The 25,136-nt window shown below is 48.7% G+C and overlaps 1 long non-coding RNA gene across 1 annotated transcript in view, besides 2 other annotated features; it reads right to left on the bottom strand.

The window, feature by feature from the left end:
* The window catches only part of LOC107985340 (uncharacterized), a 47,653-nt gene extending 32,524 nt beyond the window's left edge, over window positions 1–15,129 (bottom strand). Inside the window, exons 1-2 of the long non-coding RNA XR_001753971.2 lie at window positions 14,718–15,129; window positions 333–386 (exon numbers count right to left, since the gene is read on the bottom strand). This is a non-coding gene — a long non-coding RNA (uncharacterized LOC107985340). The remainder of the gene's footprint in view (window positions 1–332; window positions 387–14,717) is intronic.
* Window positions 4,880–4,959: an enhancer, noted in NCBI's record as "active region_14929". NCBI's record gives its function as "activates an Ori minimal core promoter by ATAC-STARR-seq in GM12878 lymphoblastoid cells {active_cell/tissue: GM12878}" and the evidence as "EXISTENCE:reporter gene assay evidence [ECO:0000049][PMID:35858748]".
* Window positions 10,845–10,894: an enhancer, noted in NCBI's record as "active region_14928". NCBI's record gives its function as "activates an Ori minimal core promoter by ATAC-STARR-seq in GM12878 lymphoblastoid cells {active_cell/tissue: GM12878}" and the evidence as "EXISTENCE:reporter gene assay evidence [ECO:0000049][PMID:35858748]".

The following is a 25,136-nucleotide window of genomic DNA, read 5'->3' as shown; positions in this document are numbered from 1 at the left end:
TAGGATTAGAGACTATTATTCTAAGGGAAGTAACTCAGGAATGGAAAACCAAATATTGTATGTTCTTACTCATAAGTGGGAGCTAAGCTATGAGGATGCAAAGGTATAAGAATGACACGATGGACTTTTGGGACTCAGGGTGGGAAAGGAGCGAGGAATAAAAGACTACAAATTGGGCTCAGTGTATACTGCTCAGGAGATAATCGCACCAAAATCTCACAAATCACCACTAAAGACCTTACTCATGTAACCAAACACCACCTATTTCCCAATAACCAATGGAAATCAAATTAAAATAAATATATATATAAGGTCCAAGATTTATTACTTACAGATCCTGGGTAGGGTGAGTGCAATGAGTGAGGACACTGCTCCATCCCTGGGTCCTGCAAGGCAGGGAAGAAGAAGAGTCAGAGAGAGAGAGAGAGAGAATGCATCACAGCTAGCGGAATAGGTGTACAGAGGAGAAGGGTGTGGATCACTTTAAATTCACAGGCAAATGTCTGAATGGTCCATTTAAAGGAAGCAGCAGGAAAGTGGAGAGCCTAGTCTGCTGGGTGACAAAGATGCCTCTAGGTGCTCATCTCTGACCACCAGCTTGGACCACTCAGGAGAGGTGTTCTCATGGCTAGGCAGCAACCTTTGGTGTGGCATTCCTGTTACAATGGTATACTCCTACTTTTGCAAAAGTATCTGTGTAAAGTGTCTAGGAGGATATAGAACCAAACTTTAACATCAGTTGCATGAGAATTGCAATGATGAATGACATTTATGTTGTTTGAGATGGAGTTCTTGCCCTGTTGCCCAGGCTGGAGTGCGGTGGTACAATTATAGCTCACTGCAGCCTCCAACTCCGGGGTTCAAGCGATCGTCCTGCCTGAGCCCCTCCAGTAACTGGAACCTCAGGCACACATCACCATACCTGGCTAATTTTTTGTATTTTATTTTTTGTAGAGATGGGATTTTTCCCATGCTGCCCAGGCTGGTCTCAAACTCCTGGGCTCACGCAATCCTCCTGCCTCAGCCTCCCAAAGTACTGAGATTACAGGTATGAGCCACTGCACCTGACCCATTTATGTTGTTTTTTTTTTTTTTGTATTTTCAGCACAGTATCAATTCTTTAGAGAACATATGATACCATTACTGCAGCCAAAAAAAAATCATTTCCATTTTTAAGAAGCACCAGATGTACTATTAAACACTGTAGCAAAATATAACTAAGTGCGGATGGAGTCGTAAACAAAAGAGGAACGGCAAAAATGTTTCACACTGAAGCGGAATGAGCTGAATGATGAGTACGTGGGGTTTCGTTATATGATTTTCTCTACTTTTCTGTAGGTTATAACTGTTTCCATAATAAAATGTTTTGTTGTTGTTGTTTGGGGGTATTTTTTTGTTTTGTTTTGTTTTGAGACGAAGTCTTGTGCTGTCGCCCAGGCTGGAGTGCACTGACACAGATCCCGACTCACTGCAACCTCCGCCTCCCGGATTCAAGCAATTCTCCTGCCTCAGTCTCCCAAGTAGCTGGGATTACAGGCACCTGCCACCATGCCTGGCTGATTTTTGTATTTTTTAGTAGAGATGGGGTTTCTCCATGTTGCCCAGGCTGGTCTTGAACTCCCTACCCTCAAGTGATCCACCTGCCTCAGCCTCCCAAAGTGCTGGGATTACAGGCGTGAGCCATCACGCCTGGCCTCATCATAAAATGTTATGTGCAGAATTTTTTAATTAAGTTGAAATGCTTCTTGGCCCACCTCCTCTCCCCACAGTCTCTCACACTCAGCATCTGCCTCCCAGACCCCATTCTCCCAGATTCTGTACCTCTCAGGAGTGGAGCCACTGTCTACCCAGTCACCAGGCCACACCCCAGGCACCTTCCTCTCTCCTTTCCTCCCCTTCACCTCCCCACAGCCCATCAGCCCCCAGCCCCATCCCTGCTGCCCCCTGACTTTCTCTGCCCAATTCCACCTTCTTCGTCTCCACACCCGGACCCCAGCTTATTCATACCTCATCCTCTCCTGCCTAGACCATCAACCCAGCCTCCCTCCTGGCCTCCCAGCCTTCACTTGTTCCCTCCAGCCCACTCCCCAAATGGCCCCAGAGAGGAGTTTGCTGCTTCTTTGCTCACAGGACTCCCACAGCTCCCCAATGTACCAGGAAAAATCCCCAGCTTCTCTACTTTGATGACCTCATCAAGTCTGTCCAGCTTCATCCTGCATTACTTGCCAATCACTCTCTGCACTGAAGCCACAGGGACTTACGAGTCAGGCTCCACCTGCAGCTCCCTGCCTCGGTCCTCCACACATGCAGTTCCCTCTGCCTGGGATAATCTTCCCACCTTTCTCCATCTGCTCAATTCCCAACTCATCCTTAGCGGTAGATAAAAAGTAAAAGTCATCCCTTCTAGGGTCTGCCAGAAGGCAGTTAACCTCTTCCTTCCCAGAGCTGCCTTTTTTTTTTTTTTGGACAGAATCTCACTCTGTTGCCCAGGCTGGAGTGCAGTGGCACAATCTCGGCTCACCGCAAACTCTGCCTCCCAGGTTCAAGCGATTCTCCTGCCTCAGCCTCCTGAATAGCTGGGATTACAAGTGCCCGCCAATATGCCTGGCTAAGTTTTGTATTTTTAGTAGAGACAGGGTTTCACCATGTTGGGCAGGCTGGTCTCAAACTCCTGACCTCAAGTGATCCACCCAACTTGGCCTCCCAAAGTGCTGGGATTACAGGTATGAGTCACTGCACCTAGTCCCAAACACTTTTTCATTCATTCATTCATTGATCTAATTTTTAAGTATTTTTTATTTTTTTCTTTTAGAGACAGGGTCTAATTCTGTTGCCTAGCCTGAAGTACAGTGGTGCAATGATGTCTCACTGCAGCCTCCAACACCTGGGCTCAAACGATTCTCCCACCTCAGCCTCCCGAGTAGCTGGGATGACAGGGGTACACCACCATGCACAGCTATTTTGTTATTTTTTATTTTGTAGAGTCAGCATCTCCTATGTTGCCCAGGCAGGTCTTAAACTCCTGGGGTCAAGCAATCCTCCCTCCTTGGCCTCCCAAAGTGCTGGGACTACAGGCGTGAACCACCATGCTCGGCCTAAAAATATTTATGGAGTTCATACTCTGTGTCAAGAACTCTCATCTGTTCTAGGTGTCAGGGATACAACCAGAAACGGGACAGATAAAAATCCTGGCTCTCGTCGAACTTGCCTTTTTAGATGTGTGTGTCGGGGACTGGGAACAGAAAGCAATGGAGGCCGGGCGTGGTGGATCACGCTTGTAATCCCAGCACTTTGGGAGGCCGAGGCAGGCAGATCACCTGAGATCAGGAGTTTGAGACCAGCCTGGCCAACATGGCGAAATCCCTTTTCTACTAAAAATACAAAAATTAGCCGGGCATGGTGGCACGTGCCTGTAATCCCAGCTACTCAGGAGACTGAGGCAGGAGAATCACTTGAATCCATGAGGTGGAGGTTGCAGTGAGGTGAGATTGTACCATTGCACTTCAGCCTGGGCAACAAAAGTGGAATCTCCAAGAAAAAGAAAGAAAGAGAGAAAGAGAGAAGGAAGGAAGGAAAGAAAGGAGGAAAGGAAAGAAAGAAAGGAAAGAAAGAAAAAGAAAAAGAAAGAGAAAGAGAAAAAAGAAAGAGAAAGAAAAGAAAGAAAGAAGGAAAGAAAGAAAGAAAGAAAGAGGGAGACGCTGAAGGAGAAGGGGCAGAGGCCTGATTCCTGGATCCCTAACCTCTCCCCTTTCTCCTTTGCCAATAGCTTTGTTCTCACCCCAGTTCCTCCTGCTGTCAAAGGCAGAAAGGCCACACCAAAGCAGCCTCAGTGACGTTCAGCAACCCCCTGGTGAGTGAGTCCCAGGGAGTCTTCCCTCCCACAGACGGCCCAGAAACTTTCCAGCCTCTTCTTCCCTCTTAACCTGCCCACAGCCCACCATTCCTAGCCTCAGGTCCTTCCAGCGATGGGCTCAGCCCAATACCCCAAGCCATCCAAGTCCAGGTACATTGGTGTAGAAGAAGCAGAGGAGGTAGGGTTGTGCAGAGAAGCAGGAGGAAGGGAAACATTAATAAGAACTTCTGAATACCCAAATAGGGCTCTTGAGCAAAGAAAGGACTATTTGCTGCTATTCCACTTTGAAAACAATACCCAATCTCTTAAAATTGTTCATTGCAAACAAAATTTTCAGGGCCAGGTGTCGTGGCTCACATCTGTAATCCCAGCTCTTTGGGAGGCCAAGGTGGGAGGATTGCTTGAGCCCAGGAATTGGAGACCAGCCTGGGTAACATAGCAAGATCCTCCGTCTCTGGAAAAAAAATAATTAAAAATTAGCCCTGTGTGGTGGCATGTGCCTGTGGTCCCAGCTACTTGGGAGGCTGAGGTGGGAGTGTCGCCTGAGCCTGGGAGGTCAACGCTGCAGTGAGCTATGATCACACCACTGCACTCCAGCCTGGGCGACAGAGCAAGATTGTAAGACTAAAAAAAAATGTCCTAAGGCCCTAAGTTCAATGAATATATTATCATCTTTATAATAATAATAAGGGCCAGCCAGGCACCGTTGCTCACACCTGTAATCCCAGCACTTTGGGACGCCAAGGTTGGTGGACCACTTGAGGTCAGGAGTTTAAGACCAGCCTGGCCAACATGGTGAAACCCCGTCTCTACCAAAAAATACAAAAATTAGCCAGGCCTGGTGGTTGATGCCTTTCATCCCAGCTACTTGGGAAGCTGACGTGGGAGAATCACTTGAACCCAGGAGGCGGGGGTTGCAGTGAGCCGAGATCGCGCCACTGCACTCCAACCTGGGCGACAGAGTGAGACTCCATCTCGAATGAATGAATGAATGAATGAATGAATGAATGCCTTTTAATGATCAGAGGGTGGGGGAATCCCCTGTTTCCCCTTTTTCTGTTTCTTTCTCTGTTCTCTCCTCCCTGATCAAGGCTCTGTGGTCCCCCGGGGACAGCACCCATCCCCATTGCTTTCTTTCCCCCTGCATCCTCCTGCCCACTTCGCTGTAGATGCAGGTTCAATCACAGGAAGTGTGAGGCAAGTGGGGTAGCTGAGGCCCCAGCTTTCTGGCTGGAGGACCAACAAAGGGGAGAGAAACCAGAAAGTACCGCGGAGAGGGAGGAGATTGGGAAAGTGACCTAATGAAGTTGCTTTCATGAATTTCTCTGTTTGCCCCTAAGATGCATGTGGATCTGAGCCTAAACAACATTCCAAAGATGTTGAAGACACAATGAAGGGATTCAACACCATCTGGGTTCCAGTCTGGCCAGTGGGTGGTCCATGGGGAAGACAGATTAGAAAGTCATTGTAACGACTTTGAAGTCAGAACTCACCTGAAACCACAACCCACAGCAGGCTGCTCAGAAGCCCTGAGCTGAACCAAACTAGGTCAGTGACCTGTCAAAACAAAAGTATCGCCGGGTGTGGTGGCTCACGCCTGTAATCACAGCACTTTGGGAGGCCGAGGCAGGAGGACCACTTGCAGTCAGGCGTTCAAGACCAGCCTGGCCAATATGGTGAAACCCCATCTATACCAAAAAATACAAAAATTAGCCAGGCATGGTGGCACGTGCCTGTAATCCCAGATACTTGGGAGGCTGAGGTGAGAGGATCGCTTGAGCCTGGGAGGTGGAGGCTGCAGTGAGCCGAGGTCATGCCACTGCACTCCAGCCTGAGCAACAGAGCGAGACACTGTCTCAACAAAACTAAAACAGGCCGGGCGTGGTGGCTTATGCGTGTAATCCCAGTACTTTGGGAGGCCAAGGCGGGTGGATCACCTGAGGTCAGAAGTTCAAGACCAGCTTGAGCAATATGATGAAACCCCATCTCTAATAAAAATACAAAAATTAGCCGGGCTGTGGTGGCACATGCCTGTAATCTCAGCTACTCAAGAGGCTGAGGTGGGAGAATCTCTTGAACCTGGGAGACGGAGGTTGCAGTGGGCCAAGATCACGCCACTGCACTCCAGCCTGGGAGACAGGGGGAGACCTTGTGTCAAAAACGAAACAAAACAACCCCCCCGCACAAAACGTATCCACAATCTACATAGAATTTAAACAAGACCCAGCACCTTATCACATAATATTTAAGATGTCCAGAATACAACCCAAAATTGCTCAGCATACAAAGAATCAAAATTGCAACTCACCAAGAGAAAAAGACAAGCAGTAGACGCAGAGATGACATAAGTGCTGGAATTGAGTGCAAAGAGGTTAGGGCTGTGAGTAAAGCATTTAAAGCAGCAGAAAGCAACATGCCTCACTGACAATACCACAGGGGCCTGGGGAATATGTTTTGTAGGCTTCCTAGCCTGGCCATCGATAGAAAAGAGAAGAAAGAAGAATATGGAACTGAGAGGCAACAGTGTCCAACACAGGCCAACATTTTGGCTACTCAGTATCTGTTCACACAAATCTACCCTTATTTAAACTTTTATACAACAAGAAAACATCATTGTGCTTCCATCTAATAGAATGCAAGTATCCCTTGTACAAATGGAGGTGTGAGCAACCTCTTCCCAAAAAAGCACTTAATGGCGGCATCTGGCTGGGCGCGGTAGTGCATGCCTGTAATCCCAGCACTTTGAGAGGCCAAGGCGGGAAGATCACCTGAGGTCAGGAGTTCGAGACCAGCCTGGGCAATATGGTGAAACCCTGTCTGTACTAAAAATACAAAAATTAGGTGGGCATGTAATCCCAGCTGCTGTGGAGGCTGAGGCAGGAGAATCACCTGAACCCAGGAGGTGGAGGTTGCAGTGAGCCAAGAACAAGCCACTACCCTCCAGCTTCGGTGACAGAGCAAGACTCTGTCTCAATAAATAAATGAATCTATCTATCTATCTATCTATCTATCTATCTATCTATCTATCTATCTGTGTATCTATCTGTGTATCCATCTATATCTAATGTATCTATATCTAATGTATCTATCTATATCTAATGTATCTATCTATATCTAATGTATCTATCTACCTAATGTATCTGTCCATGTAATGTATCTTGGCAGAAGACATGAAACTCCTGGGTCAGAGACAAAGGACCATATTCCTCCCAGTACAGCCAGCAGCATAAACACAGCATGTTTTCATTGGTTCTCCTTTCTCTCCAAACTCTGTAAGGGCAATGCCAGGGCCCAGGTGGATGCCTGCACGTACAGAGGGTTGTATTACAGGAGAGGAGCACTGAGCTTAGGGAACCCCCTCTTCTTTATAGCAATCAACAAGCAAGCCTCTCTTTGTGAGAGGGGAGGGGTTGCCTCATTGCTCAAGTTTGCCAGCTGCGTAAACAACCCTGAAGAAACAGTGACCAGGGCCTTGCAGCCATGCACACCCCACACAACATGCAGGAAACACAAGACAACTGTGGAGGACAGTCTCCCAACACAGCAATACCCACCCCCAGACCCGCATCATCTTAGCTTCTGGCAAGTTTTCAAATGACTCTGACACCCATCAGCCACTCTGATTCATCTAACTAACAGGCTGGAATAAAATCACTTCAGGCCAGGCATGGTGGCTCACACCTGTAATCCCAGCACTTTGGGAGGCTGAAATCACTTGAGGTCAGGAGTTTGAAACTAGCCTGGCCAACATGGGGCAACTCTTTCTCTACTAAAAATACAAAAAAACAGCCAGGTGTCGTGGTAGGTGCCTGTAATCCCAGCTACTTGGGAGGCTGAGGCAGAAGAATCGCTTAAACCTGGGAGGCAGAGGTTGCAATGAGCCAAGATTGTGCCATTGCACTCCAGCCTGGGCCACAGAGACTCCATCTCAAAAAAAAAAAAAAAAATCACTTCAATTTGTCTCATTCGGCCTTTAATTAAGGCTACTTTTGATGGGACTCCCAACAGCAAGATCAGGCCAACCTTGAGTATTGACCTCAACTCTCAACTATGTCCCCCAGGGTCCTAGACTCAGCCAACTGTGAATAAGTCTCAAGGTGGCTCATGCCTGTAATCCCTGCAGTTTGGGAGGCTGAGACCGGCAGATCATTTAATCTTAGGAGTTCAAGATCAGCCTGGGCAACGTAGTGAAGGCCCATCTCTACAAAAAATACAAAAACAATATTAGCCAGAAGTGGTGGCACACCTGTAATCCTAGCTACTTGGGAGGCTGAGGCGGGAGGATCCCCTGAACCCAGAAGGTTGAGGTTGCAGTGAGCCAAGATCACGCCACTGTACTCCAGCCTAGGTGACAGAGCAAGACCCTGTCTCTAATACAATAAAATTAAAATAAAAAAAAAATAAAAGTCCAGGTGTGGTGGCTCACGTCTGTAATCCCAGTACTTTGGGAGGCCGAGGAGGGGGAATCACCTCAGGTCAGGAGTTCAAGACCAGCCTGATCAACATGGAGAAACCACGTCTCTACTAAAAATACAAAATTAGCCGGGCATGGTGCCACATGCCTGTAATCGCAGCTACTTGGGAGGCTGAGGCAGAAGAATCGCTTGAACCCGGGAGGCAGAGGTTGCAACGAGCTGAGATCATGCCATTACACTCCAGCCTGGGCAACAAGAGTGAAACTCCATCTCAGAAAAAAAAAAAGTAAAAACTGGTCCCAGAGGACCAGTACATCTTATTTTGGACAACCAGGATATAGTCTAAGGCGACTCTATTGTCCATTATAAGCAGAGCAGAGAACTTTAGGCTGATCTGCTAAAATACCAAAAAAAGAAATTTAAAAATAAAAAAACTGATCTGATCTTTGATGTCTTTACAAACAATTACAGGGTGACAACAGATGAGCCTAAAAGCAACCCCCATCCACAATGGGCATGCCACAGCTTACCTCCCCAACCTGAGAAGAGACAGTCATTGGATTTTGTTGTTAAGCTTGGCTGGAATTACCGTTACATTGTCTCAGTTAAGCCACATAAGTAATATCAGCAGGTTGTTTCAACTAACACAGGAGTGAGCCAACTTTTTCTGGAAAGAACCAGGTAATAGTATTTTGGGTTTTGTAGGGCATTTGTTTTCTGTGGCATAGTCATCTTTTTCTTTTTTCTTTTTGAAACAAGATCTTGCTCTGTCACTGAGGCTGGAGAGCTGTGGTACAATAATATCTCACTGCAGCTTCGACCTCCCAGGCTCAAGCGATCCTCCCACCTCAGCCTCCCGAGTAGCTGGGACTACAGGCGTGCACCAGCACACCCAGCTAATTTTTAATTTTTTGTAGAGACAGGCTTTCACCACATAGCCCAGGCTAGTCTTGATCTCCTGGGCTCAAGTGATCCTTCTGCTTCAGCCTCCCCAAGTGCTAGGATTACAGAGGTGAGCCACCACACCTGGCTTTTTTTTTTTTTTTTTTTTTTTAAACAATTCTTGGCTGAGCCGTGGCTCACGCCTGTAATTCCAGCACTTTGGGAGGCTGAAGCAGGTGGATCACTTGAGGTCAGGAGTTCAAGACCAGGACGGCCAACATGGAGAAACCCCGTCTCTACTAAAAATACAAAAATTAGCCGGGCATGGTGGCGGGCACCTTTAATCCCAGCTACTCGGGAAGCTGAGGCAGGAGAATGGCGTGAACCCAGGAGGCGGAGCTTGCAGTGAGCCAAGATCATACCACTGCTCTCCAGCCTGGGCGACAAAGCGAGATTCCATCTCAAAAACAACAACAACAACAACAACAACAACACATTCTTTAAAATATATGAAAAGCTTTGTTAGTTTATAGACCACACAGAAACAGGTCACAGGCCAGATGTATCCCACAGGCTATAGTGTGCCAACTCCTGATCTAGCACCATGTCGGTCCAACAAGGGGATTCTGGTGCCTAAACCAGCATTAGTTTGAATCCCCTACTTGGCCCCCTCAGGACTCAACTGCCATCTGGAGGGCATGACCACCAGGCTGTCCAGCGGAAAGAAAGATGCATCATTCCCAACAATGGTCAGCGGGCAAAATTGTACTTTTTTTTTGAGACGGAGTCTTGCTCTGTCACCCAGGCTGGAGTGCAGTGGTGTGATCTCGGCTCACTGCAAGCTCCGCCTCCCGGGTTCATGCCATTCTCCTGCCTCAGCCTCCTGAGTAGCTGGGACTACAGGCGCCCGCCACCAAGCCCGGCTAATTTTTTGTATTTTTAGTAGAGACGGGGTTTCACCATGTTAGCCAGGATGGTCTCGATCTCCTGACCTCGGGTCTCTGTAACTCCTCCAACACTTCTGTCTCAGGGACTATCCAAGATGCAGCCAAGAAGAGATGAAGCCTCTTCTGGGACTGCCACATTCAGTGACCAAACGGCCTGAGTAAAGTGTGTGCGGCCGGGTGTGGTGGCTCACGCCTGTGATCCCCCCACTTTGGGAGGCCAAGACGGGTGGATCACTTGAGGTCAGGGGTTCGAGACCAGCTGGCCAACATGGTGAAACCTATCTCTACTAAAAATACAAAAATCACCTAGGCATGGTGACGCCTATAATCCCAGCTACTTGGGAGGCTGAGGCAGGAGAATCGCTTGAACCCAGGAGGCAGAGGTTACAGTGAGCCGAGATGGCACCACTGCACTCCAGCCTGAGCAACAGAGCATCTGTCTCAAAAAATAAATAAATAAAGTGTGTGGATCAGGAAGAGGTAGGAAGGGGAAACCAGAAACCTTTTTGAGCTGATTCTTGAGGAAGATGATCCAACAATCAATAATACCAGACACCCGCAGATAGTGAGGAAGTTACAAAGTCCCATTGAATACCTTAAATATCAACCAAACTGCAATCAATGTCTTCCGGAGTTGGTGTTGGGGTTAGGTGGTTGCTGCCCCCTAGTGGACATCTTTAGGTTTAACATAGTGGAATGCGCCCAGCCGTTTAAGGGAACCCGTTTGAATTGAGGGCCCCATTGAGCCAGAGGAATTGCCTCAGGCAGGGGAGTGGAGGAGAGTTTTCTCCAAATGGGGTAGCTGCTGCGGGGTGCGGCGGCTCACACTTGTAATTCCAGCACTTTGGGAGGCCGTGGCAGGAGGATTGCTTGAGCCCAGGAGTTCAAGACCAGCATGGGCAACACAGCGAGACTCTGTCTCTGGAAAAAAAAAAAATTAAAAAATTAACCGGGTATGCTGGCGCATGCCTATAGTCCCAGCTACTCAGGAGGTTGAGGTGGGAGGATCGCTTGAGCCCAGGAGTTCCAGGCTGCAGTGAGCCACGATCATGCCACTGCACTCCAGCCTGGGCAACACAGCAAGACCGTCTCGAAACAGAAAACAGAAGAAACAGGGGTAGCTGTGACTTTTGTATGTAAAACTCAGAAGACCTGAGGACCAGACCAGCTGTGCTCTTAGACGTACCCTTTACCTTTGGCCATTTCCGGTATTGCTAGTGAAGCTGCAGTTAACCTACCCGAGAACAAGGGTGTGAGGCTGGGGAGTCAAAGGCCACCACAAGCCAGGCGTTTGCTTTCAAGGAGAGCTTAATAGTGATTCATAGCGGCCTTCTTTTCTTTTTTTATTATTTATTAGAAGAGAGACAGGGCCGGGCACGGTGGCTCACGCCTGTAATCCCAGCACTTTGTGAGGCAGAGGTGGGTAGATCCCAAGGTCAAGAGATCAAGACCATCCTGACCAACATGGTGAAACCCAGTCTCTACTAACAATACAAAAGTTATCTGGGCATGGTGGCAGGTGCCTGTAATCCCAGCTACTGGGGAGGCTGAGGCAGGAGAATCGCTTGAACCCCAGAGGTGGAGGTTGCAGTGAACCGAGATCGTACCACTGCACTCCAGCCTGGTCACAGAGCAAGACTCTGTCTCAAAATAAATAAATAAAATTTTAATTTAAAAAAAACAGAGATGGGTTTTCACTATGTCGCCCAGGCTGGTCTTGAACTCCTGGACTCAAGCAATCCACCCACCTCTTGGTGTGAGCCACCGCACCCAGCCCAGCTGCCCTTTCTTTTTAAAAGGAGTGTACTTGGTGGCCGTGTCAGGCAGGTGGCACTGTGGCACTGGGAAACGGCTTCCCGGAGCACTCCAGCAGCCATTTAGTCATTACAGTTGTGTTTCCTTTTCTACTGGGATCCCACATTGTTTCTGGTAGAGGTGAAGAGGGCGGCATATGCCACAGCCTCCGACTGGTAGAATCCTCTGATAACAAGGCATGTGTAGTTTTTTCGAGCATGTAAAGCATCAGTACCAATTACACCCGCTCAGTCGTGGAAACCACACAGCGGGACATTGAATTGGCTCTAGGTGCCACACCCAACGAGATCTCTTCAGCTTCCCTTCCCACTGGGAGCCTGACTGGTTGAATTCAGGTACTTGGACCAAGAAGTCTGTGGGTCAGGGACTACAGCCTCAGCCCTGGAGCAACTTGGGGCTGGGGGGCATCCCAGGGGGACAGCAAAGGCAGGGGAAAAAAACTCATTGTTGGTCGGGCGCGGTGGCTCACACCTGTAGTTCCAGCACTTTGGGAGGCCGAGGCGGGCGGATCACTTGAGGTCAGGAGTTCAAGACCTGACTGACCAACATGGAGAAACTCCGTCTCTACCAAAAATACAAAATTAGCCAGGTGTGGTGGTGCACACCTGTAGTCCCAGCTACTCAGGAGGCTGAGGCAGGAGAATTGCTTGAACCTGGGAGGCGGAGCTTGCAGTGAGCAGAGATCGCGTCATTGCACTCCAGTCTGGGCAACAAGAGTGAAACTCCATCTCAAAAAAAAAAAAAAAAAAAAAAAAAGGGCCGGGCATGGTGGCTCACACTTGTAATCCCAGCACTTTGGGAGGCAGAGGCGGGTGGATCATGAGATCAGGAGATCGAGACCATCCTGGCTAACACGGTGAAACCTCGTCTCTATAAAAAATACAAAAAATTAGCCAGGCATGGTGGCGGGCACCTGTAGTCCCAGTTACTGGGGAGGCTGAGGCAGGAGAATGGCATGAACCCAGGAAGCAGAGCTTGCCGTGAGCCAAGATCATGCCACTGCACTCCAGCTTGGGCGACAGAGCAAGACTCCATCTCAAAAAACAAACAACAAAAAAACTTCATTATTGACCTCTCTATCGGCTCACTTGGCTCCTCCCTCCAGGATCAGTGCCAGAGCTGCAACCCAGGTACCTCCCAGGACCCAGCAAGTTCTTAGGCACAGAGGCCCCTCTCTTTCTGCTCTTCCACAGATGGCCAGGCTCAGCCCTCCCAGTCCTCAGCATCTTTGACCAGCCCTGCACCCAGCTGTGGACTGGATCCAAATTGGACCGTGGTGGGGCCAGAAACACTCGCAGGGTGGGATCTTCACTAATGTTTTCAGCCCACTGAAGGCTCAATATCAAATAGCAAGGCAGGGCATAGCGGCTCATGCCTGTAATCTCAGGGCTTTCGGAGGCCGAGGTGATTGCATCACTTGTGCTCAGGAGCTCACGACCAGCCTGGGAAACATAGCGAGACCTCATCTCTACAAAAAAATTTTAAATTAGCTGGGTGTAGTGGTGCATACGTGTGGTCCCAGCTACTCGGGAGGCTGAGTGGGGAGGACCCCTTGGCCCTGGGAGTTTGAGGCTACAGTGAGCCATGTTTGCGCCACTGTACTTCAGCCTGGGTGACAGAGCAAGACCCTGTCTCAAAACAAAGAAACAAATAACAAGGTCCTTGTTGCTGATACCACTTCGGTTTCAGAGACCCTTTGACCCAGCGGCCACAGCCATGCTGCCTCTTGGTTGGGTCCCTGGGGCTTGTTGTCTCATTTTCATGATCCCATTTCTTCCTCCACCTGCCTGGAGAAGGGTAAGAACCCAGGTGCAGCCAGGCACCATTTGCCCACTGTTTTGCCCACTGATTTTGATCCTATCTGTAGCCACTGAGCCTCATTAACAAGTAGGACAGGCTGGGTGCGGTGGCTCATGCTTGCAATCCCAGCACTTTGGGAGGCCGAAGCAGGTGGATCACCTGAGGTCGGGAGTTCGAGACCAGCCTGACCAACATGGAGAAACCCCGTCTCTACTAAAAATACAAAATTAGCCGGGCGTGGCGGTGCCTGCCTGTAATCCCAGCTACTCGGGAGGCTGAGGCAGGAGAATTGCTTGAACCCAGGAGGCGGAGGTTGCAGTGAGCCGAGGTTGCACCACTGCACTCCAGCCTGGGCAACAACAGTGAAACTCCATCTAAAAAAAAAAAAAAAAAAAATACAAGTAGGACAGTGAAGACCTCTATTCCTGGCCATCCTCCTCTACTTGGATGAGAGAATTCCCTACTGGATCCCAGGGATTCTTCTCATATTTTTGAACCAGGCCCATGGAGGCCCTGTCCTTCCAATTCCAGAAAGCCACGCCTCTGTCAACATCCCATCCTTTTCCACACTACCAGGTCCGGACTTTCATTTTGTCCTACTTACAAGCCAGCCTGGGCTGGGTGCAGTGGCTCATGCCTGTAATCCCAGCACCTTGGGAGGCTGAAGCAGGAGGATCCCTTGAGCCCAGGAGATCGAGACCACTCTGGGCAATGTAGCCAGACCGTCTCTACAAAATGTAAAAAATTAGTTGGGCATAGTGGCATGCACCTGTAGTCCCAGCTACTCGGGAGGCTGAGGTGGGAGGATCACTTGAGCCCAGGTTGGAGTGCACCATTGCACTCCAGCCTGGGTGACAGAGTGAGACCCTGTCCCTAATTCAATGAATCAATCAATAAAATAAAAAATAAAAATAAAAATAAAACAAGCTAGCCCATTACTGTTTCACAAATGTTGCCAGAAGACACAAGACTCCTGGGCCAGAGACAAGGGACTTTATTACTCACCAGCCAGCAGGGAGCATGAGCATCAATGCCTTGGTATTCATTCTCCTGGACTCCAAGGTCCCACGGGGGCTGGTGCAGATGTCTGTAATCCCGTGGGTTCTGAAGAAGATAAAGAGCTCCTGGGTGGAGCTTGATTTTAAAAAGCTCTTGCTAAAGAGGCTCCCACTCAAATGCGGCCATCTGTCTGGTCACTTGCTGCAGCCACGTTAGTGAAATTTCCACACGTGAGATGTGGCGTCCTCAAGATCCCAAAAGGCTTATCAGTTGCAACACCTTTGTAGTTGGAGGTGGCAGGACCAACAGTTTGTCTTTTTTAAGCTATGAAATGTCCCTTTAAGCTGCGGCCCAGCTAGTCCTCATGATGATGATTGGGATAACAGGGTCTTTGTTCTTGCAGTCACAGCTAACTAAGGGCAGGTGGGCATTGTCCTCATTCAACACCCACCTGCCCTTAGTTAGCTTCGACTGGATGGCAGCTGATACAATACAACAGTGCAGGCCATTACCCAAAAGCCGTTTCTTCCAAAGAACGCATAAGGCTGGGCGCAGTGGCTCACACCTGTAATCCCAGCACTTTGGGAGGCCAAGGCAGGAGAATCGCTTGAACCCAGGAGTTCCAGACCAGCTTGAGCAACATAATGAAACCCATCTCTATTTAAAAAAAAAAAAATAAAAACTTAGCTGGGTATAGTGGTGTGCATCTGTAATCCCAGCTACTCAGGAGGCTGAGGCAGGAGGATCACTTGTGCTCAGGAGTTTGAGACCAGCCTGGGCAACATAGTAAGATCCCGTCTCTACTAAAATTTTTTTATAAATTACGTGGGCACGGTGGCATACAACTGTAGTCCCAGCTACTCAGGAGACTGAGGTGGGAGAATCTCCTGAGCCCAGGAGTTCAAGGATGCAGTGAGCTATGATCATGCCACTGCATTCCAGCCCTGTCTCAAAAAAAAAAAAAAGAATGTGAGAATGGTCAAAACACAGCATCACTAGTCCTTAGGGAAATGCAAACCAAAACCACAATGGGACACCACTCCACAGCCACTAGGATGGCTACGATCAAGAAAATAAACTGGGCCGGGCGCAGTGGTTCACGCCTGTAATCCCAGCACTTTGGGAGGTCAAGGCAGGTGGATCACCTGAGGTCAGGAGTTGGAGACCACCATGGCCAACATGGTGAAACCCCATCTCTACTAAAAATACAAAAATTAGCCGGGCATGGTGGCAGGCACCTATAATTCCAGCTACTCAGGATCCTGAGGCAGGAGAATCGCTTGAACCCGGGAGGCAGAGGTTGCGGTGAGCCAAGATTGTGCCACTGCACTCCAGCCCGGACAACAAGAGCTAAACTCCATCTCAAAAGAAAAATAAAAAGAAAAGAAAACAAACTGCGAATAACAAGTGTTTGGCATGGATGTGAAGAAATTGGAACCCCCGTACATTGCTGGTGAGAATGTACAATGGTCCAGCCACTGTGTAAAACAGTTTGGCAGTTCCTCAAAAAGTTAAGCACAGAATTAGCATATATATGACCCAGTCATTCCACCCCTAGGTACCTACCCAAAAGAACTGAAGACAGGTCTTCAAACAAAAACTTGTACACATTACCTGATCCTTTTTTTTGGGGGGGTGGGGCGGGGAGACCGAGTCTTGCTCTGTCACCTAGGCTGGAGTGCAATGGTGCAATCATAGTTCACTGTAGCCTCAAACTCGCAGGCTCAAATGATCCTCCCACCTCAGCCTCCCGTGTAGCTGGGATTACAGGTGCACACACCACCCCACCTAGCTAATTTTAAAAAATTTTTTGTAGGCATAAAGTCCCACTATGTTGCCCAAGCCTGGTCTCGAACTCCTGGCCTCAAGTGATCCTCCCACCTCAGCCTCCCAAAGTGCTGGGATTACAGGTGTAAGCCACCGTGCCCAGCCAATACTTTGTGCTAAAAACAAACAAACAAACAAACAAACAAACACAACTTGCTGGTCATGGTGGCTCACGCCTGTAATCCTAGCACTTTGGGAGGCCGAGGTGGGTTGATCATTTGGGGTCAGGAGTTCGAGACCAGCTTGACCAACATGGTGAAACCCCATCTCTACTAAAAATACAACAAATTAGCTGGGTGTGGTGGTGTACACCTGTAATATTGGCTACTCAGGATGCTGAGGCAGGAGAATTGCTTGAATCTGGGAGGTGAAGGTTGCAGTGAGCCGAGATCACACCACTAACTCCAGCCTGGGTGACAGAGAGAGACTCTGTCTCAAAAAAAACACAAAAAATCATAAGCACTGATAATAGCAGGTCCTGGTAAGGATCAGGGCCACTAGAACGCTCTCATGCATTGCTGGTGGAAATTCAAAATTCAAACGGTGCAACTACTTAGGAAAAGATTTTGGCAATTTCTTATAAAGTCATACATACACTTCCTATACCATCCAGCCATCCCAATCCTAGATATTCAAGAGAAGCAAAAGCGTGTGTCCAATGCCCACAGTTTTTCCAAACTTAATCTGGTTGTGTGTATCAGCCCCTTGGCTTGCCTACGTCTTTGTTCTAAAAAGGCAAATCCGGCCGGGTGCAGTGGCTCACACCTGTAATCCCAGCACTTTGTGAGGCCAAGGCAGGTGGATCATGAGGTCAGAAGATCGAGACCATCCTGGCTAACACAGTGAAACCCCGTCTCTACTAAAAATACAAACAAACAAACAAAAACAAACAAAAATTAGCCAGGAGTAGTGGCGCGTGCCTATAGTCCCAGCTACTTGGGGGGCTGAGGCAGGAGAATCGCTTGAACCCGGGAGGTGGAATTTGCTGTGAGCCGAGATTGCACCACTGCACTCCAGCCTGGGTGACAAAGTGAGACTCCGTCTCAAAAAAATACAATAAAAATAAAAAATAAATAAAAAGGCAAATCCATCCCAGTTTTGGCCGCAGCCCATTTGCTTGGTTGCAGCTTTGAGCCAACCTTACAGCTCCGTTCCCTCTAGTTACACTCGTCGTCCTTTTGATATTACCAGTTCCTTGGCCTCCGTCTTTTTCTTTTCTGAAACAGGGTCTCCCTCTGTCACCCAGGCTGGAGTACAGTGGCGTGATGACGGCTCACCATAGCCTCGACCTCCCAGGCTCAAGTGATCTTCCCACCTCAGCCTCCTGAGTAGCTGGGACCACAGGCGCCCACCACCACACTCGGTTAATTTTGTAATTTGCATCTGCACTCTTTAGCCCTCATCCCAGCCTCCTGCCTCCTTTCCTCTGAAAACCTGCAGCCCCGCTACCTAGAGATTTCTTTTTGTATACAATGAACCATGTTTTTCAAATGACTTGCTTGTCTGGGGGCCTCTGGTGTCTTACACATTCTGTTTACAGTCATCTGTCTTTCCCTGCACCTGAGACCTGGAACAGACAGCATCTTAGGGGGCCTCACCAGGTCCCGGGTGAGGGGACACCACAGCCATCCCCACCCCGTCAGCAGCCTCTCCAGAGTACACTGCACTAGCTGACCACAGCTCTGCTGCCCACCCTGGCTTCATGGACATCCAGTTTACTCACTGGCCTTACATGTGACCTGCCACCACCATTAGGAGGGAATGTCTTCCACCTCCATAGTGGGCCAAACTCCATGTTGCTTGCAAACACAGCACCAGGCTGGGTGTGGTGGCTCACAGGCTCACATCTGTAATCCCACCACTTTCGGAGGCTGAGGCAGGCGGATCACTTGAGGCCAGGAGTTCGAGACCAGCCTGGCCAACATGGTGAAACCCTGTGTCTACTAAAAATACAAAAATTAGCCAGGCGTGATGGCAGGCGCCTGTAGTCCCAGCTACTCGGGAGACTGAGGCTGGAGAATGGCTTGAACTGGGGAGGCAGAGGTTGCAGTGAGCCAAGATTGTGCCACTGCACCCCAGCCTGGGTGATAGACCAAGACTCAGTCTCAGAAAAAAAAAATACATATATATATATATACATACATACATACATACATATGTGTGTATATACATATGTATGTATGTATATACACATATACAAATATATATGTATATACACATATATACGAATATATGTGTATATACACATATATACGAATATATGTGTATATATACATATATATATGTATATACCTATACACACACACACACACACACACACATATATATGTACAAAAATTAGCCGGGCATGGTGGCGGGCACTTGTAATCCCAGCTACTCAGGAGGCTGAGGCAGGAGAATCCCTTGAACTGGGGAGGTGGAGGTTGCAGTGAGCCAAGATCGCGCCACTGCACTCCAGCCTGGGCAACAGAACAAGACTTCGTCTAAAAACAAACAAACAAAAAGAACACGGCAGCAGGACAGATGGAGAATTTTCCTCTGTGGTCACCAACTGTCACACACACCACTAGGCCTGTGTGATAGAGACAGGAATAGATTCACTGAGGGAAGACGCACAGGTAGAGGAGGGAGCATCCCTCCAGCCCGTGACTCCGGCTAAACATGAACGGTCTGCCTGCACCGTGGCCAGCAGCATCCCAGTAAAGAAGGACTGTGTTTTTGTATTTATAGAATCGGGGAAGAGGAGAAACAGCTATGTGGCGATGACAGCTTCCTGGTCAGAAAAAATGTTCTGGCTAGAAAAGGGCAGCCTCTGGGGCTCAGCAGCTGGTATCAGCCTGTTCTTCTGTATCTGTGGCGTCAGCGCAGGCTTGCTGAGCCAATCCTGCTATGTTACCAAAGAGAGGATCAGATGAACCTCAGGGCTCTTGAGATTGGTTGCTCAGGGTTGCTGCCCAGCTCAGAAGTGGGCATTGCTGAGCTGGGGCTCAGATTTCTGGGAAGGGAGACTGCCAGGCTAGTGCTGGTTCCTCTGAGGGCTGCAATGTGGCTGACTCTGAGAATCCTAGTATATCATGCTGAGCCATCTAAAAACCAGCCCAAAGTTGTGTCCTCCCCAGTTCAATTAATCACGAGGAGCTGCCTGGTGCGGTGGCTCACACCTGTAATCCCAGCATTTTGGGAAGCCGAGGAGGACAGATCACCTGAGGTCTGGAGTTTGAGACCAGCCTGGTCAACATGGGGAAACCCCGTCTCTACTAAAAGTACAAAAATTAACTGGGCGTGATGGTGCACACCTGTAGTCCCAGCTACTCGGGAGGCTGAGGCAGGAGAATCACTTGAACCTGGGAGGCAGAGGTGGTGAGCCAGGATCGCACCACTGCACTCCAGCCTGAGCAACAGAGCAAGACTCCATCTCAAAAAAAAAGAAAGAAAGAAAAGAAAAAAAGTCATGAGGAGCTGTCCATGAAGCCATGGGTATAAATGGAGAGAAGACAAAACAGTGGGTATAGATGGCAGAACGGTCTGTGCTGTCCACTCAAGCAATTTGCTTGTGTCATTGCTTATGCCAACACCTTAGTTCTTTTTTTTTTTTTTTTTTTTTTGAGATGGAGTTTCGCTCTTGTTGCCCAGGCTGGAGTGCAATGGTGCAATCTCAGCTCACCGCAACCTCTGCCTCCCAGGTTCAAGCAATTCTCCTGCCTCAGCCTCCGGAGTAGCTGAGATTACAGGCATGCGCCACCATGCCTGTCTAATTTTGTATTTTTAGTAGACATGGGGGTTTCTCCATGTTGGCCAGGCTGGTCTCGAACTCCTGACCTCAGGTGATCCACCTGTCTCGGCCTCCCAAAGTGCTGGGATTACAGGAGTGAGCCATGGCGCCCGGCCAACACTTTATTTCTTATTTCCACCTGATGCACTGCCATTGCCTGTGCTCAATCTTCTGGATTTGTGGGTCGGATTACACCGAGTTCCTGATGGTCAGCTCAGGTTTTATCATTGCTCGGTGCTCCATGGCCAGGTATCTATCTCTAACCGAGACAAGGAATTGTTTCTTCACAGAGATGAGTTGTGTGCAGAAGATGGCATGGCTTTGTGCCAAAACCCTACGAGTTTATGCCGGAAAATGCTCCTATTGGCACTTTCTGGAGGTCATACAGCATCTCGATTTGCCACATTCTTTTCTGAGTATCATGTGAGCTGCTGAGTCACAAGACTGAGCTTAAGCTCAGCATCAGCCGGATGCAGAGCCTTCTCACGCACTTGGACGACACTCCGAGTTGGCATTTTTGTAGGTTACTCACTAAATGGGTTGGAAAATACCTCAAATGTGGTGTATTTTTCTTTTTTCTTTTATTTTTTTATTTTAAAACTTTATTAGCCTGGCCAACATGGTGAAACCCTGTCTCTACTAAAAATACAAAAATTTGTCAGACGTGGTGGCGCACACCTGTTATCCCAGCTACTCAGGAGGCTGAGGCAGGAGAATCGCTTGAACTCGGGAGGTGGAGGTTGCATTAAGCTGAAATCGCGCCACTGCACTCCAGCCTGGGTGACAGAGCGAGATTCCGTCTCAAAAATAAAAAATTATTAAAGACCAATTTTTTGGTTTGTTTTGAGATGGAGTCTCGCTCTGTTGCGGAGGCTGGAGTGCAGCATGATCTCGGCTCACTGCAACCTCCGCCTCCCAGGTTCAAGTGATCCTCCTTCCTCAGCCCCCCTAGTAGCTGGGATTACAGGCACACACCACCATGCCCGGTTAATTTTTGCATTTTTAGTAGAGACAGGGTTTCGCCATGTTGGCCAGTCTGGTCTCGAACTCCTGACCTCAGGTGATCCACCTGCCTCGGCCTCCCAAAGTGCTGGGATTACAGGCATGAGCCACCGCACTGGCCTAAATTTTTTTAAAAAAAAATTTGATGGGCATGGTGGCGTGCACCTGTGATCCCAGCTACTCAGGAGGCCGAGGCAGGAGGATCACTTGAGCCAGGCCACAGTGAGCTGTGATCACACCACTGCACTCGAACTTGGGCAAGAGAGTGAGACTGCATCTCAAAAATGAATAAATAGGCCGGGCCAGTGTCTGCTAATCCCTAAAAGGTCTGAGTATTTTCCTTTCCCCAATACACAGTTACTGCATAAACGGAGACAAGTCCTATTTGAATGGAAGATGCAAAATATAAGCTTGCAGCAGTTATTTTAGGGTAATTCCTCAAGAGTACCAGCCTCCTCTTCAATTAAGGAATTTTTGGTCTCCAAATCGCTTTACATGTGGAATTCGTGCAAATTCTCCATCTTGATGACTCACGTCAGATTTCTACACACACGACCTGGAGTTTTCCTGTTATATAGATACTTCAACAGAGATGAATTAATACACGGGTCTCAGATAAATTAAACAGGTCTCAGGAAACCGTGAAAGGAATGAGAAGAAACAGCGCAGAAATAGTAACTGCACCGTATAAAAATAGTAACTGCAGGCTACACCTGTCACTCCAGGACTGAGAATACAGCTATCAGAACCTAAAATGTTGAGGCAGCAGCCCTGCAGAACTGAAACCCAGACTAGAGCCAGGGGCTACCAGGGTGGCGCTGGTGTGACAGAAGGCTGACAATGATGCTGGTTATGGCATCCGGCGTGGTGGCTCATGCCTGTAATCACAGCACTTTGGGAGGCCGAGGTTGGAGGATCCCTTGATCCCATGAGTTTGAGACCCACCTGGGCAACATGGCGAGACCCCCATCTCTACGAAACAATTTGAAAACAAAAAATTAGCTGGGTGTGGTGGCGTGCACCTGTGGTCCCAGCTATTCTGAAGGCTGAGGCGGGAGTATGGCTTGAGCCTGGGAGGTCAAGGCTACAGTGAGCCTCGACCACTGCACTCCAGCCTGGGCGACAGAAATAGAAAAAGAAACAGGTTAGGGAGGTGCCAAAAAAATAAAACTTGAAACCTGGAAGAGGGCCGGGCGTGGTGGCTCACACCTGTAATCCCAGCACTTTGAGAGGCCAAGGTGGCTGGATCACCTGAAGTCAGGAGTTCGAGACCAGTCTGACCAACATGGTGAAATCCTGTCTCCACTAAAAATACAAAAATTAGCTGGGCGTGGTGGCGGATGCCTGTAATCCCAGCTACTCAGGAGGCTGAGGCAGGAGAATTGCTTGAACCCAGGAGGCAGAGGTTGCAGTGAGCTGAGATCGCGCCATTGCACTCCAGCCTGGGCGACAGAGCAAGACTCCGTCTTAACAACAACAACAACAACAAAAAACAAACAAACAAACAAAAAACCTGGAAGCAACTGCTGCTGTCAGAGGGAGCGTTGTTCTGGGGCGACGCTTGCTCGGATGCCTGAAGCAAATAGGTGGAGCAAATCCCTGCTTCCTCCTCCAATGGCCGGTCTCCGTCTAGCGCCCTCTTTAGGCCGGGGCTTATAGCAACCCAGCTGGGAAAGCAAAAACGTGGCTTGCAGAGGCTCCGCCCCAACATCACAGAGCGGAGGCAAGGGTGGATTTGCAGCTGAGAGACAAAAGCTCAAACTTGCACATGGACTGAGTGAGTTCCTGTGACTTCACGGCAGTTGACATTTCCAAATATAAAATCGTGCATTACAGATGCTCTCTGGATTGCCCAGATTTCTGTTCCAACGCAGCCACTTTCCATTTTTATTTTTTATTATTCTTTTGAAACAGAGTCTTGCTCTGTCACCCAGGCTGGAGTGCAGTGGCACAATTTCGGTTCACTGCAATCTCCGCCTCCTGGGTTCAAGTGATTCTCCTGCCTCAGCCTCCCGAGTAGCTGGGACTACAGGTGTCCGCTACCACACCCGGCTAATTTTTGTATTTTTAGTAGTGATGGGGTTTTGCTATATTGGCCAGGCTGGTCTCGAACTCCTGGCCTCAAGTGATCCACTTGCTTGGCTTCCCAAAGTGCTGTTTTACAGGCATGAGCCACCACGCCCAACCCCCAACTCAGCTACTTTCTATGTGTGACTTTATTTGAGCTACTTTTCTGTGTCTCACTTTTCTCATCTGCAAAATGGAGACAATAATAGAACCTACCTTGTATGGTTATCATAGGGTTCACTGATGTAGCGCACGTGAAGCACTTAAAACAATGCTGGACACACATATATAGAAAGTACTGGAGGCCGGGTACGGTGGCTCACGCCTGTAATCCCAGCACTCTGAGAGGCCGAGGTGAGTGGATCACTTGACCCCAGGAGTTTGAGACCAGCCAGGGCAATATGGTGAGACCCCATCTCTACCAAAAATCCAAAAAATTAGCCGGGCATGGTGGTGTGAGCCTGTAGAACCAGCTACTCAGGAGGCTGAGTGGGAGAATTGCTTGAGCCCAGGAGGTGGAGGTTGCAGTGAGCTGTGATTGAGTCACTGCATTTCTGCCTGGGTGACAGAGTGAGACCTTATTGAAAGAAAAGAAGAAAAAGTGGCCGGGTGTGGTGGCTCACACCTGTAATTCCAGCACTTTGGAAGGCCGAGGCAGGCAGATCACCTGAGATGAGGAGTTTGGGACCAGCCTGGCCAACATGGTGAAACCCCGTCTCTACCAAAAATACAAAAATTAGCCGGGCATGGTGGCGGGCACCTGTAATCCTAGCTACTCCAGAGGCTGAGGTAGGAGAACTGCTTGAACCCAGGAAGCGGAGGTTGCAGTGACCTGAGATCGTGCCACTGCACTCCAGCCTGGGTGACAGAGAGAGACTCTGTCTCAAAAAAAAAAAAAAAAAAAAAGAAGAAAAGAAAGGAAGGAAGAAGGAGGGAGGGAAGGAGGGAGGAAGGGAGGAAAGGAGGGAGGGAGGAAGGAAGGAAGGAAGGAAGGAAGGAAGGAAGGAAGGAAGTAGGTTACATTACAGTGATTATTACTACTTGGGTTGGTGAGAACTAACTCAGCATCTTCCAGAGAAGTTGCAGTTGCCACACAACACTTGGCAATGTTTCAACGCTACTCTGCACCCACGGTGACAGATACTTGGATCTCCTCCAATTTGGAGGAAGGATGTTTGGTTTTGATTTTTGGATGTGTTGGTTGTTGGTGGCTTTCTTGCTATTTAACTAATGATTGCTGTCAGTTCAACCTTGTCATTACCAGTTTAGCTTGTTATGGGTTATTTAGTTAAGCTGCATGTATAATCACACATATTTGCCTCAACCCTGTGTGCGCCTGGCCTGCAATTTCCCACTAATTAGACTTTTTAAAGACACGTATGCATTTATCTACTCAAATTTGCATCATCCGTTTCCCTATTGCCAAAGCAGATGTACACAACACCCACCCACCTCCATTCCAGGAAATAATTTGCTTATTATCACTGAGTTATTTTTCCACTGGAAAGTTGAAACTGGGTGGGAGGGGGTACAGATGGGGTCTTGTCCTACTGAAGCGAGAGCCGTCAGAACAGTGCAGACAGAAGTGCTGGGTCTCCGGCAAGAACAATGGGGCTCAAGGGAGGAAACGGACTCCAAAATATCTGAATTACAGCAGCAAATCCACCAAGAACCCCAAACCCAACACCCCAGCTCCAGCTCCCATCCTGGATCTAGACACCCACCAGCTCCCCCAGGAATCAAGCCTCCGGACACGA

Source organism: Homo sapiens, chromosome 19 (assembly GCF_000001405.40).
Source record: "Homo sapiens chromosome 19, GRCh38.p14 Primary Assembly".
Lineage (NCBI taxonomy): Eukaryota > Metazoa > Chordata > Mammalia > Primates > Hominidae > Homo > Homo sapiens.
Note: the sequence above shows the minus strand (reverse complement) of the source record. Positions and strands in the feature narration are given on the sequence as shown.